Source organism: Homo sapiens, chromosome 11, assembly GCF_000001405.40.
Source record: "Homo sapiens chromosome 11, GRCh38.p14 Primary Assembly".
NCBI classification, from domain to species: domain Eukaryota; kingdom Metazoa; phylum Chordata; class Mammalia; order Primates; family Hominidae; genus Homo; species Homo sapiens.
In genome coordinates, this window is record NC_000011.10 from 77,848,387 (window position 1) to 77,865,002 (window position 16,616).

General features: G+C 44.1%; 2 protein-coding genes across 26 annotated transcripts in view; one reads left to right on the top strand and one right to left on the bottom strand.

Moving 5' to 3' along the window:
* The window catches only part of RSF1 (remodeling and spacing factor 1), a 212,224-nt gene that overhangs the window by 188,378 nt on the left and 7,230 nt on the right, over positions 1-16,616 (bottom strand). The gene's annotated exons all lie outside the window — the stretch shown is intronic.
* AAMDC (adipogenesis associated Mth938 domain containing) overlaps positions 1-16,616 on the top strand; it is an 84,881-nt gene that overhangs the window by 27,243 nt on the left and 41,022 nt on the right. For 5 of the 25 annotated variants that reach the window (XM_047426836.1, NM_001392033.1, NM_001392031.1 and 2 more), the window contains one exon: positions 6,959-7,096. The exons of the other annotated variants lie outside the window; for them this stretch is intronic. In XM_047426836.1, coding sequence (XP_047282792.1) covers positions 6,959-7,096 — 138 coding nt within the window. The remainder of the gene's footprint in view (positions 1-6,958; positions 7,097-16,616) is intronic. 25 annotated transcript variants of the gene reach the window in all.

The window sequence follows — 16,616 nt, forward strand, 5'->3', positions numbered from 1 at the left end:
CTTGCTCTGTCACCCAGGCTGGAGTGCAGGGCGTGATCTCGGCACACTGCCACCTCTGCCTCCCAGGTTCAAGCGATTCTCCTACCTCAGCCTCCCGAGTAGCTGGGATTACAGGCACCCACCACCTCACTTGGCTAATTTTTTTGTATTTTCAGTAGAGGTGGGGTTTCACCATGTTGGCCAGGTTGGTCTCGAACGCCTGACCTCAGGTGATCCGCCTGCTTTGACCTCCCAAAGTGCTGGGATTACAAGTGTGAGCCACCGTGCCTGGCCAACCTCATTCTTTATAGAAACTTAAGCACAGAGAAGTTATATAACTTGTGTAGGCACAGAGCTATAAACGTGTGAAAGCAAACAGTAAGCTCAGGTCAGATTGTAACTTGCTTTCCTGTTTCTTTCTACTACATATTGTTATCCTCTTATATCCACAACACTGTCTCCCAAGCTGGAGTGCAGGGTTGTAATCATAGCTCACTGCAACCTCAACCTCTTAGATTCAAGCGATCCTCCAGCCTGCTCTTATCATCCCAACTAGCTAGAAGTAGAAGTATGTGCCACAATGCCTGGCTAATTTATTTTTATTTTTTGTAGAGACAGAGTCTGTCTATGTTGGTCAGGCTGGTCTCAAACTCCTGGCCTAAAGTGGTGCTCCTTTTTTTTTTTTTTTAAAGATGGGGTCTCACTTGGTCCCCCAGGCTGGAGTGCAATGGCGCCATTATTGTTCACTGTAGCCTTGATCTCCCAGGCTCAAGCGTTCCTCCCACCTCAACCTCCTGAGTAGCTGGGACCACAGGCAATTGCCTCCATACCTGGCTAATTTTTTATTTTTTATTTTTATTTTTATTATTTTTTTGAGACAGAGTCTTGCTGTGTCGCCCAGGCTGGAATGCGGTGGCGTGACCTTGGCTCACTGCAACCTCTGACTCCCGGGTTCAAGCGATTCTCTTGCCTCAGCCTCCTGAGTAGCTGGGATTACTGGTGTGTGTGACCACGCCCGGCTAATTTCTTTTGTATTTTTAGTAAAGATGGCTTTCACCATGTTGGCAAGGCTTGTCTCAAACTCCTGACCTCAGGTGATCTGCCCATCTCGGCCTCTCAAAGTGCTGGGATTATTGGCGTGAGCCACTGCACCCGGCCTAATTTTTTAATATTTTGTAGAGACAGGGTCTCACTCTGTTGCTTAGGTTGGTTCAAACTCCTGGGCTCAAGTGATCCTTTTGCCTTGGCCTCCCAAAGTGCTGGATCTGTTTTTTTGTGTGTTTTTTTTTAATTATGCAGTTCCAAGTTATCCTTTCACTCTCCTATATTTCATAACACATATTTGAAGACCTAGCTATTCCATATCAAATTCTTTTTATCTTCCAAACCTGTCATGATCTTTCTTTCCTCTGCACCTTTGCTAAAACTATTTCCTTCTGTATCTGATGAAATCTTATACATTCCTCTATTCTTGGCTTTTGCATTATCTCCTCTATGAAGCATTTTCTTAATCCTTCTGAGAATGAGATGCTTACTCCCTTCCCTTATTTAATACTCTGTGCCTCTATTATAGCACTTAGCACAGTTCACTTGTATTATAATGAGGATCTGTTTCCCCCACTAAGTGGTAAACTCCCTAAGGTTAGCAAGAACTATGCATTTAACACAGTGCCAGTAAAGCAAGAACTCAATAAATGTTTGCTGAATTGAAATTTTCATTATAAATGTCATTAAACAAACTGTTTTTATCCTTTTTAACATTCCCTCTGAGATAGGTTAATGTTATAATTCCTTTTTCATTAGTTTAAAAAAGGACAGAGCAGATTTTGTAGTGATTACAGAATGGAAACGTAAGAAAATGTAAGGTCTTCAAGCAGTATCCTGAAATAATAATTAGTATAAACTCCAAAATCTTTACCAGTCATTAAAACAACTAGTATGTACCTAGTCAAATATAACTTTTCCAGGGTCACATAACTAATAATTTTTGGAACCAAAATTTGAGCATAAGTTGTTCTTTCTCTAAAGCCCATACTTTCCTTCTGTTTTATACTGCCCTTGCTCATTTCTATCCTAAGGCAATAACTATCTTATTATAGAAGAGTTTTCTATATGGAAACATGCATAGATCATCATTCATGTGTCCTTTTTGTTAGACTGAAAGGGGTCAAGAATGAAGGTATAAAAATATAAGTATAAAATTAAAGAAAAACCAATTAGCAGCCACACAAAGAAAACTAAAGGAACTATGGAAATGTTTACCCCAACTTTTTATTTTGAAAAATGTTAAACCTACAGAATAGTTATGTGAATAATATAATACATTTCCATATATCCTTTACCTAAATCCTCAAGTTGTTAACATTTTACCATGTTTGTTTCTTTTCTCACTCTAAACACACACACACATACACACACATACACACACACACACACACACATACACTCACACTTTGTCCCCCTGTCATTTGACAATAAATCACAGATACGACATTTCAGTATTTCTCTCCTAAGGACATGAATATTCTCCTCTATAACTACAATTCTATTGTCAAAAACAAGGATATTATCATTGATACAATAATATCTTTTTTTTTTTTTTTTTTTTGAGATGGAGTCTCGCTCTGTGGCCCAGGCTGGAGTGCAGTGGCACGATCTCGGCTCACTGTAACCTCCACCTCCTGGGGTCAAGCAATTATCTGCCTCATCCTCCTGAGTAGCAGGGATTATAGGCACATGCCACCACGCCCGGCTAATTTTTGTATTTTTAGTAGAGACAGGGTTTCACCATCTTGGCCAGGCTGGTCTTGAACTCCTGACCTCGTGATCCACCTGCCTCGGCCTCCCAAAGTGCTGGGATTACAGGCGTGAGCCACTGCGCCCGGCCGATACAATAATATCTAATATACAGTCTGTCTTCAGATTTCCCCAGTGTCCCAAGAATGTTCTCTATAACTTTTGTTGATTCTCAGAGAATTGTACAATTGACCAGGCTAGAGTTTCTTCTGCTCAAGACAGTTCTTCTTAAGGAAAGATTGATGAGCTGTTCCTAGCTGTTCCTTGTGTTTTTGTTTGCTTTTGCTTTTGTTTTCCTATTCACCTTCTAAAGCTGGTTGTTGTGGAAGGCTGATATAGTTGGATATTTGTCCCCACCCAAATCTTTTGTTGAAATGTAATCCCCAATGTTGGAGGTGGGGCTTGGTGGGAGGTAATTGGGTCATGTGGGCAGTTCCCTCATGAATAACTTAGTGCTGTCTTGGTGATAGTGAGTGAGTTGTCAAGAGATCTGGTTATTTAAAAGTGTGTGGTACCTCCCCCAACCTTGCTCCTGCTTTCATCATATGACATGCCTACTCCCACTTCACGTTCTGCCATGGGTAAAAGCTCCCTAAGGCCTCCTCAGAAGTCAAGCAGATGCTGGTATCATGCTTGTACAGCCTGCAGAACTGTGAAGCAATTAAACCTCTTTTGTTTATAAATTACCATCTCAGGTATTTCTTTATAGCAAAGTAAGAAAGGCCTCTGTTGAACTTCTTGAATTTGAATATTTTCAAACTGTGATCCAACAAATTATAAAAGAAATAGAATAAACAGTTGCATACCATCAATTCAGATTCACTAGTTGTTAACATTCTGCCACATTTGCTTTATCTAGTCCTCTGTGGCCCTCTTCTCTCCTTCTCATAATTATTTTTACTAAATAATTTGGAAGTAGTTGTGGGCAGCCATAGTGGCTCACATCTGTAATCCCAGCACTTTGGGAGGACGAGGGACGAGATGGGAGGATCACTTGTGCCCAGGAGGTCAAGGCTGCAGTGAGCTTCACTCCAGCCTGGCCAACAGAATGAGACACTGTCTCAAAAAAAAAAAAAAAAAGAAGAAGAAGAAGAAGTTCAAAGAAAAAGAAAGAAAAAGTCACTGAAATTAATGATCATTTTTAATGTTGTCAATTTGACATACGGAATTTGGTTTATTTGTTTCTGTTGGCATACAATTTTAGATGCCTCCCATTTCCTGTCTGTCTTGATTTTAACTTTCTGAATCATGTAAAATATTTACATGATTCAGAATTCAAACTTCAAACTATGACAGTCACTTGCTGTTCACTATCACCAGAACAGCAAGAGAGATATCCACATCCATGATCCAGTCACCTCCCATCAGGTCCCTCCTCCAACACTGGGGATTACAATTCAACATGAGATTTGCGCAGGGACACAAATCCAAACCATATCATAGATACACTTAGAAAGTCTTATTCACCTCCCTATCTCTTCCATCACATTCCCACCTCACTCCATGTAGGTAATTATTTTGTATTAGTTTCCGGTTTATCCTTTTTTGTATTTTTCTGGAAAAAATAAGCAAATACAAAAATACATATATAAATAATTTTTTTTCTTTTTTTCCCATTTTCCATACGCAAAAGGTAGCATGCCTTACTTCTTTATATTCTGTTCACTTAATATATACAGAAAATCATGATATCAGTTCATAGAGATATGTCTTTTTCTTTTTTACCACTGTATAGTAACCAACTTTGTGAATGTAATATTGTTTATTCACTTTAGTCCTAAGGGATGGGTACTCGATTGCTTTCAATATTTTAGTACTATAAACAATACTACATTGAATAACCATGTACATTTTTTTTTGTATTGTTGAAAGTGTATATCCAGGGTAAATTTTTAGAACTGAGATTGTGCTTAAAGAGTAAATGTAAATGTAGATTTGTTAGATATTGCCAAATTCCCCTTTTTGGGGGTTGTACCGTATTTTAGTATTACTAACAATTTATGAAAAGGCCAATTTTAAAATGTAGAAATGTTTAAATTTGTTAGTAAAAGTGAACAGTATTTGTATTAGTCCATTCTTGCATTGCTATAAAGAACTACCTGAGACTGGTTAGTTTCTAAAGAAAAGAGGTTTCATTGGCTCAGGTTTCCATAGGCTGTACAGGAAGCATTGCTAGGGAGGCCTCAGGAAACTTACAATCATGGCAGAAGGCAAAGAGGAAGCTGGCATGTCTTACATGGCCAGAGCAGGAGGCAGGAGAGTGGGGAGGTGCTATATACTTTTAAACAACCAGAACTCATGAGAATTCACTCACTATCACGAGAACAGCAAGGGGGATATTGGCCCCATGATCTAGTGGCCTCACACCAGGCCCCTTCTCCAACACTGGGGATTATAATTCGATATGAGATTTGGTCAGGGACACAAATTCAAACCATATCATTCTGCATCTGGCCCCTCCCAAATCTCATGTCCTTCTCACATTTCAAATTACAGCCATGCCAGGCAGTGGCTCACCCCTGTAATCCCAGCACTTTGGGAGGCCAAAGTGGATGGATTGCTTCAGGTGAGGAGTTCAAGACCAGCCTGGCCAACATGATGAAACCCTGTCTCTACTAAAAATATAAAAATTAGCTGGGCATGGTGGTGCACCCCTGTAATCCCAGCTACTTGGTAGGCTGAGGCAGGAGAATTGCTTGAACCCAGGAGGTGGAGGTGGCAGTGAGCTGAGATTGCACCACTGTACTCCAGCCTGAGTGACAGAGTGAGACTCCGTCTCAAAAAAATAAACAAATAAATACAACCATGCCTTCCCAACAGTCCTCCAAATTCTTTTTTTTTTTTTTTGAGACAGACTCTCGCTCCGTTGCCCAGGCTGGAGTGCAGTGGTGCCATCTTGGCTCACTGCAACCTCCACCTCCCAGGTTCACACCATTCTCCTGCCTCAGCCTCCTGAGTAGCTGGGACTACAGGCGCCCGCCACCACACCCAGCTAATTTTTTTTGTATTTGTAGTAGAGACGGGGTTTCATCGTGTTAGCCAGGATTGGCTCGATCTCCTGACCTCATGATCCACCCGTCTCAGCCTCCCAAAGTGCTGGGATTACAGGCGTGAGCCACCGTGCCCGGCTATCCTCCAAATTCTTAACACATTCCAGCATTAACTGAAAAGTCCACAGTCCAAAGTCTCATCTCATACAAGGCAAGTCTCTTCTGCCTATGAGCCTATAAGATCAAAAACAGTTAGTTACTTCCAAGATACAATGGGGTTATAGGCATTGGCTAAATACTTCCATTCCAAAAGTGAGAAATTATCCAAAACAAAGAAGCTACAGGCCCATGCAAGTCTGAAACCCAGCAGGGCAGTAATTAAAACTTAAAACTCCAAAATAATATCCTTTGGCTCCATGTCTCACATCCAGGTAACACTGATGCAAGGGGTGGGTTCCCAAGGCTTTGGGCAGCTCTGCCTCTGTGGCTCTGCAGGGTGCAACCCCTGTGGCTGCTTTCGTGGGCTGGCATTGAGTGCCTGCGGGTTTTCCAGGTGCATGGTGCAAGCCGTTGGTGGATCTACCATTCTCATGTCTGGAGGATGGTGGCCCTCTTCTCACACCTCCATTAACCACTGTCCCAGTGGGGACTCTGTGTAGGGGCTCCAACCCCACATTTGCCCTCCATACTGCTATTGTAGAGGTTTTCCATGAGGGCTACGCACCCCCAGCAGACTTCTGCCTGGACATCAGGCATTTCCATACATCCTCTAAAAACTAGGCAGAGGCTCCCAAGCCTCAATTGTCACACTCTGTGCACCCACTGGCTTAACACCTCATGGAAGCCACCAAGGCCTATGGCTTGCACCCTCTGAAGCATCAGCCTGAACTGTACCTTGGCCCCTTTTAACCATAGCTAGAGCTGGAGTGGCCGTGATGCAGGGTGCTATGACCTGAGGCTGCACAGAGCAGTGAGGCCTTGTACCTGTCCCACAAAACCATTATTTCCTCCTAGGCCTCCAGGCCTGTGATGGGAGGAGCTACTGTGAAGGTCTCTGAAATTCCTTCCAGGAATTTTCTCCATTATCTTGGTTATGAATATTTGGCTCCTCTTTACATATGCAAATTTCTACAGCTGGCTTGAATTCCTCTCCTGAAAAAGTTTTGTTTTTTTCTTTTTTTGTTTTGAGACAGAGTCTCACTCTGTTGCCCAGGCTGGAGTGCAGTGGCGCGATCTCGGCTCACTGCAACCTCCACCTCCCAGGTTCATGCCATTCTCCTGCCTCAGCCTCCCAAGTAGCTGGGACTACAGGTGCCTGCCACCACACCCAGGTAACTTTTTCTTTTTTTTTGTATTTTTAGTAGAGACGGGGTGTCACCGTGTTAGCCAGGATGGTCGCGATCTCCTAACCTCATGATCCACCCGTCTTGGCCTCCCAAAGTGCTGGGATTACAGGTGTGAGCCACCACGCCTGGCCTTTTTTTTCTTTTATGCCACATGACCAGGCTGCAAATTTTTCAAACCTTTATAATCTGCTTCCCTTTTAAATGTAAGTTCCAGTTTTATGTCTTTTTTTTTTTTTTTTTGCTCAAGAATATGAGCATAGGCTGCTAGAGGCAGCCAGACCATGTCTTGAGTGTTTTGCTGCTTAAAAATTTCTTCCACCAGCCAAGTGCAGTGGCTCATCCCTGTAATCCCAGCACTTTGGGAGGCCAAGGTTATGAGGTGGGCCAAGGTGAGCAGATTGCTTAAGTTCAGGAGTTCAAGACTAGCCTGGGCAACATGGCAAAACCCTGGCTCTAGCAAAAACACACAAATTTCACTGTGTGTGGTGGTGTGCACCTGTAATCCCAGCTACTTGTGAGGCTGAGGTAGGGGGATTCCTTGAGCCCAGGAGGCAGAGTTGCAGTGAGCTGAGATTGCCCCATTGCACTCCAGCCTGGGTGACAGAGTGACACTCTGTCTCAAAAAAAAGAAGAAAGGTCTTCCACCAGATACCCTAAATCATCACTCTCAAGTTCAAAGTTCTACAGATCTCTAGGGCAGGGGCACAATGCCCCCAGTCTGTTTGCTAAAGCATAGCACAAGTAACCTTTACACTAGTTGCCAATAAGTTCCTCATCTCCGAGACCTTCTCAGCCTGGACTTCACTGTCCATTTCACAATCAGCATTTTGGTCACAACCATTCAACAGGTCTCTAGGAATTTCCAAATTTGCCCTCATCTTCCTTTCTTCTTCTGAGCCCTTCAAACTATTCCACCCTCTGCCCATTACCTAGTTCCATAGCTGCTTCCACATTTTTTAGTATCTTTATAGCAATACCCCCTTCCTGGTACCAATTTTCTTTGTTAGTCTCTTCTTGCATTGCTATAAAGAGCTACCTGAGACTGGATAGTTTCTAGAGAAAAGAGTTTTAATTGGCTCACGGTTCCACAGGCTGTACAGGAAGCATAGCTGGGGAGCCTCAGGAAACTTACTATCACGGCAGAAGGTGAAGAGGAAGCTGGCACATCTTACATGGCTGGAGCAAGAGGAAGAGAGCAAGCAGAGAGGTGCTATACACTTTAAACAACCAGATCTCACTCACTATCATGAGAACAGCAAGGGGGATACTGGCCCCATGATCCATTCACCTCCCACCAGTCCCCTTCTCCAACATTGGGGATTACAATTCGACATGAGATTTGGGCAGGGACACAAATCCAAACCATGTCAGTATTCCATATTTCATTCTTTACTGAAGTCAAAGTTGAAAACAGAATACAAGGTGGAAGCTCCCAAGAATGAAAGGACAGACTGGTGATTTCTCAGAGCATGTTAGAATCCTTCATTTAAACTCAAATATTCTAGCATCCAAAAATGAATTTGGATGTGTAGCATCATTAATTCACTATGAAGTAATAGTGCATATATCATCACCCAACATTAAAAGATATGTAGGTTCTGCTTACTGGCGTTGTCTTTAAGATAAATCACCTTTTCTGCCTTCAAGAAGCTCTATAGAGTAATTAAGCAAAAAGATAATTGTAATTAAGTGCCACGGTAGATGAACCAAGAGAGGTATAATGGTAATGAGAGGAAGGAATACCTAAGACTGCCTAGATCACTTAGAGGTATTCATCACAGAAAGTGGGATCTTTGACCTGACTCTTGAAGGAGAAGTTTCCCAGGTAAACAATGGTAACTAGCTTACTGGCAGGAAAAACATATGTCTAGATGTAGAAGTGTAGGAGAAAATGCTGGAGTAGAATCATGGGAAGAGCTCTTCAATTTGTCACTATCTATAAATATTTATTTTTATAGGAATATCTACAAATATTTATTTTTGTAGGAAGCTCTAAAGTCATATAATTGGTTGAGGCTAGATTGATATTTAAGATCCATCCAAGCCTTGGATCCTATGACTCTGATTATTTTGTTTTATTTATTTATTTATTTTAATTTTACTTTAAGTTCTCGGATACATGTGCAGAACATGCAGGTTTGTTACATAGGTATACATGTGCCAGGATGGTTTGCTGCACCTATCAACCCATCAACTAAGTTGTTTTTTTTTTTTTTTGAGATGGAGTCTCGCTCTGTCACCCAGGCTGGAGGGCATTGGCGTAATCTTGGCTCACTGCAGCCTCCACCTCCCAGGTTCAAGTGATTCTCCTGCCTCAGCCTCCCAAGTAGCTGGGACGACAGGTGCGCACCACCATGCCCTGCTAATTTTTGTATTTTTAGTAGAGACAGGGTTTCACCATATTGGCCAGGCTGGTCTTGAACTCCTGACCTTGTGATCTGCCCACATTGGCCCCCAAAGTGCTGGGATTACAGGCGTGAGCCAACGTGCCCGGCCATCATCTAGGTTTTAAGCCCCACATGCATTAGGTATTTGTCCTAATGCTGTCCCTCACAGGGTGACCCAGGCTGGAGTACAGTGGTATGATCATATTTCACTATAACCTGAAACTCCTGGACTCAAGCAATCCTGTCGCGTCAGCCTCCTGAGTAGCTGAGACTACAGTTGTGTGCCACCATGCCTGGCTAATATATATAATTTTTTTTTTTTTTTTTTGAGACAGACTCTTGCTCTGTCACCCAGGCTGGAGTGCAGTTGTGCAATCTCGGCTCACTACAACCTCCACCTCCTGCGTTTAAGCAATTCTTTTTTTTTTTTTTTTTTTTTTTTTGTAGTTGCAAGGTTTAATAGAGTGAAAACAGAGCTCCCATACAAAGGGAGGAGACCCAAAGAGGGTTGCCATTGCCGGCTCGAATGCCTGCTGTGCTCTCAGGCGATAGATGATTGGCTATTTCTTTACCTCCTGTTTTTGCCTAATTATCATTTTAACGAGCTCTCTTTGCTACCTGATTGGTTGGGTGTGAGCTAAGTTGCAAGCCCTGTGTTTAAAGGTGGATGTGGTCACCTTCCCAGCTAGCCTTAGGGATTCTTAGTCGGCCTAGGAAATCCAGCTAGTCCTGTCTCTCAGTCCCCCCTCTCAACAGGAAAACCCAAGTGCTGTTGGGGAGGTTGGCCGATGACCGCTCTAACTGCTTTCTGCTGAATTGGGGCATAGTAGGGGTTGTGCAGTTGAGATTTCCTTGGGAGGGATGCCTTTGATGTCATTAACATCAGAGCATGGGCTAGCAGGCCAGTCCAGGGGTCCACGGTAGGTCTTAGTCATGGACTGCATCGGGGACTCCATTTGAAGAACGATTTGTAGTTTTACAGCTTCGATTCTGGAAGAGATAAACTTAACAAGGAGGTTAGAGATACAGGGATTGAAATGCATGGCCTGCAGTGCAGGGGATTATTTCTTTGGCACACTTTACAGGCCCTGACTATCTGCTTGATAGTTTTGAAAAGGCCTGGTCCAGTAATGATTTGGCCATCTGATGGGTGTTATCAATGCCTAAGTGAAAGGTTTGGTGAAGGGTTTTAAATAATTTCCATTGGTTAGCTGCAGGCAAAAGTATTTTTCCTTCTTCAGTGGCTAGCCATCCTGAGGGGAGGAAACTATGTCCTCCTGAGGTTCCCCATTCTATTTCTTCTTTTGAGTACAGGGGCTTGGTTTCCCAGAGGGGATTACCCCATATTAGGGGTCCTTCTATAAGCATTTCTGATGGAGGGTCCTGCCTTGCAGCTCTTTTTGCTTCAATATCTGCTTGGTAGTTCCCTTCTATTTCCCTTTCCTTTCCTTTCTGATGACCCCAGCAGTGTAAGACTGCTACCTCTTTAGGTTTCTGTACAGCCAATAATAATTTCCTAATGGCTTCCTGATGTTTGATAGGTCTTCCCTCGGAAGTTAGGAATTCCTTTTCTCTCCATATTGCTGCATGGGCATGGAGGACTAGGTAAGCATACTTAGAGTCTGTATATATATTTACCCTTTTTCCTTCTCCTAATTCTAGTGCCCGAGTGAGGGCTATTAGTTCTGCCAGCTGAGCACTAGTTCCTGGAGTGAGGGGATTACTTTCAAGTATTCCATTATCACTGAGGCATACCCCGCATTTTGAAGTCCTTTTTCTACAAAGGAACTTCCATCAGTATACAAGTTGAGGTTGGGATCAGTCAAGGGAACCCCTAAAAGGTCCCCTCAAGTGGCATAGGTTTGAGCAATTACTTGTTGACAGTTATGTTCTATCTTTTCTTCATTGTCTGGAAGAAATGTGGCTGGGTTAAGAGTTGCACAAGTGCACAGTCGCAGCACTGGCCCTTCAAGTAATACAGCCTGATATTTAAGTAAATGGTTGTCTGACAGCCACAAGTCTCCTTTAGCAGTGAGTATGCCGTTCACATCATGAGATCACAGTAAGATCTCTTCACTGTATCATTTTAACTGCTTTAGATATTAAGACTGCTATTGCTGCCATTACCCATAAACAATGAGGCCAACCCTTTGCCACTACATCAGTTTTCTTACTCAGGTATGCCACAGGTTGCAAGCTCGTCTCTCAGACATGTGTAAGGACTCCTAGAGCTATCCCTGTTTTTTCTGTGATATATACGAAGTCTTGCCCCGTTGGCAAGCTTAACACTGGGGCTTGGGTTAGGGCCTTCTTTAGGGCCTGGAAAGCTGCTTCTGCTTCAGGTTTCCACCTTACTAAATGGGTATTGCTTTCTGAGTTTCCTTAATTAGTGTATATAATGGCCTGGCTATTTCACCATACCTGGGAATCCATATTTGGCAGAAGCCTGTTATGCTAAGGAATCCTCTTAGTTGCTTTAGGGTTTGGGATGAGGATAAGCCAGTGTGGGCTGGGTACATTCCTCACTGAGGGCCCTGGTGCCTTAGGATAATTTTAGCCCTAAGTATTTAGCCTGCTGTGAGCAGAGCTGAGCGTTTGGTTTGGAAACCTGGTAGCCACAGGTGGCAAGGAAATTTAAGAGCGCTTGGGTGGCTTGATGGCACAAGGTTTCTGAAAGGGCAGCTAAAAGTAAATCATCCATGTACTGAAGGACAAGAGTGTCCAGGTGTGAGAACTGGCTCAAGTCTTGGGCTAATGCCTGGCCAAATAGATGGGGGCTGTCCCTGAACCCTTGGGGTAAAACAGTCCAGGTGAATTGAGACATTGGGTTTGAAGGATCTTCAAAGGCAAACAAGAATTGAGAGTCAGGATGTACAGGGATGCAGAAAAAGGCATCCTTAAGGTCCAGGACTGTAAACCACTCTACTTCCTCTGGTATTTGGGAAAGCAGAGTACAACGGTTAGGTACAGCTGGGTATAAAGGGACAACAGCCTCACTGATAATCCTGAGATCTTGCACTAACGTTCACTGTCTGTTGGGTTTCTATACCCCTAAAATTGGAGTATTGCAGGGGCTATTGCATGGTTTTACTAGGCCGTGGGCTTTTAGGTTCTTAACAATTTTCTTGAGTCCTTGTTGGGCCTTGGGTCTAAGCGGGTATTGCCTTTGGTACGGAAAGGAGGCAGAATCCTTTAATTTAATTTGAACAGTATGGGCATTTTTTGCTCGTCCATATTGTCCTTCTGTTGCCCAGACTTCAGGATTAATTCCTTCCTCAAGCAGGGGACAACAAATGGGTGTTCTTTCTCCTATGTTCAGGTGTATAATGGCCCCTGCTTTTGCTAGAATGTCTCTCCCTAACAAGGGAGTGGGGCTTTCAGGCATAATTAGAAAAGCATGTGAAAAGAGTAAAGTTCCCCAGTCACAACTTAGTGGCTGAGAGAGAAGTATGTAGTGACTGGCTGTCCTAGGACCCCTTGGATAGTGACAGATCTGGAGGACAGTTGTCCAGGACAGGAGAGTAAGACTGAGAAGGCCGCGCCAGTGTCCAAGAGACAGTTAACCTCCTGGCCCTCAATGGTCAAGTATACCCGGGGCTCTGTGAGGGTGATGGCATGAGCTGGCACTTGCCCTGGGCACCCTCAGTCCTGCTGCTGGATCATTTGGTTAATGGCTTCTGACTCAGAGGACCTTCGTCCCCTGGGGCAGTGGGCCTTCCAGTGATTCCCTTGACATAACGGGCATGGACGAGGGGGCGGCTTATTTCTATGTGGACAATCTTTTTTAAAGTGTCCTTGTAGACCGCACTGGAAGCAAGCCCTATTAGGCATTCAATTTCCCTAGCCTTTCCGTGTTCCAGAGCCTCCAAAGTCCGCTTGCCTGAAGGCCATGACTAAAGCGGTGGCCTTTTTTTTATCCCATTTGTCCCGTTCTGCCTGCTCCTCCTGATCTCTATTACAAAAAACCAAGGTTGCCAAGTTCAACAGGGTTTCTAAGTTTTTTGAAGTTTTTTCTAATGTCTGCAGCTGACTGAGTGATAAACCTATCCTTTAAGATTAGTCGGCCTTCAGTACAGTCAGGTGACAGAGAGGTGTGCTTTCTCAATGCCTCCCTTAGTCTCTCCAGAAAGGCGGTAGGATTTTCTTCCTTTCCCTGTGTTATAGTGGACATAATTGAATAATTCATAAGCTTCTTCCTAGTTTTCCTTAGTCCTTCTAGCACGCAAGGTAGCAAATGTTTGCGGCACCAATCTGTATGTTCTGATTCTGTGTCCCAGTGAGGGTCTACACTGGGAACTGCCTGCTGGCCTGTGGGGAATCGTTCTCATTCCTCTGTTGTCATCCTATCATTGACCTGAGATACCAGAGATCGCCAAACTCTCGGGCTGCAGTTATGATGGCACTTCTCTCATTTGGCGTTAGTGTCTGATTTAGCAGTAACATTATATCTCCATGTCAGATCAGAGGATTGTCCTAACCCTTGTAAAACATCAATATAGCCATCAGGGTTATCTGAGAATTTACCTAGGTCTATTTTAATTTGCTTCAAGTCTGAGAGAGAAAAAGGTACGTGTACTCTGGCTGGGCCAAATTCTCCTCCTCCCACCACTTGGAGAGGGCATAATTGGGGAATATTGGCACTCTTTGGTTCATTGTTTACCCCTTTGTCTATCTCCTTTTGGATCGTTTAGGTTGAAGGGGTGTCCTTATTAGTTGGGGAAGCAGTTGGGGGGACACCGGAGTAGGGAGGTAGACTCGAGGGCTTCCTGTAGGGCATAAATCACACTTTTTACATAATTGCGAGTTGTCTCTTAATGAAAAGAAAGTTTGTACATATGGCACTTCACTCTTCCTTCTTTTCTACAAAAGAGGTCTAGGTGTAAGATGGTGTTATAATTTATACTTCCCTCAGGAGGCCAGGTTTCTCCCCCTTGAAGAGGATATCATGGCCAGGTGGTACTGCAGAAAAATATAAGTCGTTTCTTTCTTAGTGTCTGAGAGTCAAATTGGTCCCAATTCTCCAGAATATATCTTAGGGGTGTTTTTGCCTTGGGGGGAACGTTTCCCATTACTTTGGAGGTCCCTTCATGGTTGCCAAATGTTACCGGGGGGTCCTTGCTCCCAGAGCTCCTAATGTGGTGGTGGGCCGCTTCTAAGATGGTGGCAAGCCTCGTGTTCTCTGACCAAGGGTGCTTGGCCTCACGGATTCCAAGGAATGGAATCTTGGGCCATGCTGTGAGTGTTATAGCCCTATCAGAAGCCGTGGGTCACGGAAGAGAACCGTGGAACCCAGTGACTAGTGTTCAGCTTGATTAGGACGAACCCGGGCACTTAGCCATGCAGGAACAATGGCAAGCCTTTATTTAGCCCAATCGGGAGCGGCAATGGGCGCTCAGGAGCACAGCAGACACCCTGCCGGATCCGGAGGGATGGAAGTCAGCAGCGGGTCTGTGATGGCGGCAAAGAGCAGTGGTGGACGGTGAGCGAAAACTCAGCTCGAGCCATAACAAAACACGGACCAGAAGAGTGCAGTTGCAAGATTTAAGAGTGAAAACAGAGCTCCCATACAAAGGGAGGGGACCCAAAGAAGGTAGCCTGCGTTTAAGCAATTCTTGTGCCTCAGCCTCCTGAGTAGCTGGGATTACAGGCATGTGCCACTACGCCTGGCTAATTTCTGTAATTTTAGTAGAGACAGGGTTTCACTATGTTGGCCAGGATGGTCTTGAACTCCTGGCCTCAAGAGATCCACCCACCTTGGCCTCCCAATGTGCTGGGATTGTAGGCATAAGCCACCGCACCTGGCTGATTTTTTATGAGACGAAGTCTCACTATGTTGCCCAGGCTGGTCTCAAACTCCTGGCCTCAAGCGACCCTCCTGCCTCAGCCCCTCAAAGCACTGAGATGACAGGTGTGAGCCTCTCTGCCTACCCCTATAACTCTCATTATTGCAGCTAATATGGTGGACTTGAATCTTATTACGGGATTAAAATTTTAAAGTCAGCAATTATGATAAAATTTGCAAATAGTTTAAATCCTTCAAGATGATCCCTTTTTTTTTTGAGACAGAGTTTCACTCTTTTCGCCCAGGCTGGAGTTCAGTGGCGCGATCCTGGCTCACTGCAACCTCTGCCTCCCATGTTTAAGCGATTCTCCTGCCTCAGCCTCCTGAGTAGCTGGGATTACAGGTGCCTGCTACCACACCCAGCTAATTTTGGTATTTTTAGTAGAGATGGAGTTTCACCATGTTTGCCAGGCTGGTCTCGAACTCCTGACCTCAGGTGATACGCCCGCCTCAGCCTCCCAAAGTGTTGGGATTACAGGCATGAGCCACCGCTCCTGGCCAAGATGATCCCTTTAATATTAGAACATAATGATTATTCTTGGGCCCATCTCTACTAAAAATACAAAAATTAGCCAGGCATGGTGGCACATGCCTGTAATCCCAGCTATAGGCTGAGGCAGGGAGAATCGCTTGAACCCGGGAGTCGGAGGTTGCAGTGAGCCAAGATCAAGCCACTGCACTCCAGCCTGGGCAACAGAGTGAGATGCCATCTCAAAAAATAAAAAATAAAAAAAAGAACATAGTGGTTATTCTTGATTGAGAACCAGATTAATTAGTTGCCTTGCATTTAGGGTGTATATTATGTGAAAAAATGCATACTGTGGTTCTAAACACTAGAAATAAACTCAGTGAGTCAAAGGTTCATACTGGAAGCAGCAACTATGAAATTGACATAGAAGGAATAGTAGATACTTGTCTCCTATCTCATGTACAATCCAGGGCATATGTTCCTTGAATAGAATGACTGAATTGCCAGGCACAGTGGCTCACACCTGTAATCTCAACACGTTGGGAGACCAAGATGGGAGGATTGTTTGAGCCTAGGAGTTCAAGACAAGCCTGGGAAATATAGAGAGACCTCGTTGCTACAGAAAGTTAAAAAATTAGCCAGGCATGGTGGCACATCTGTATTCCCAGCTACTTGGGAGGCTGAGGTGGGAGGATCACTTGGGCCTGGGAGATTGAGGCTGCAGTGAGCCCTGATTGCACCACTGCCCTCCAGCCTCAGTGACAGAGTGAGACCCTGTCTCAAAAACAAAAAAGAATGACTGAATTA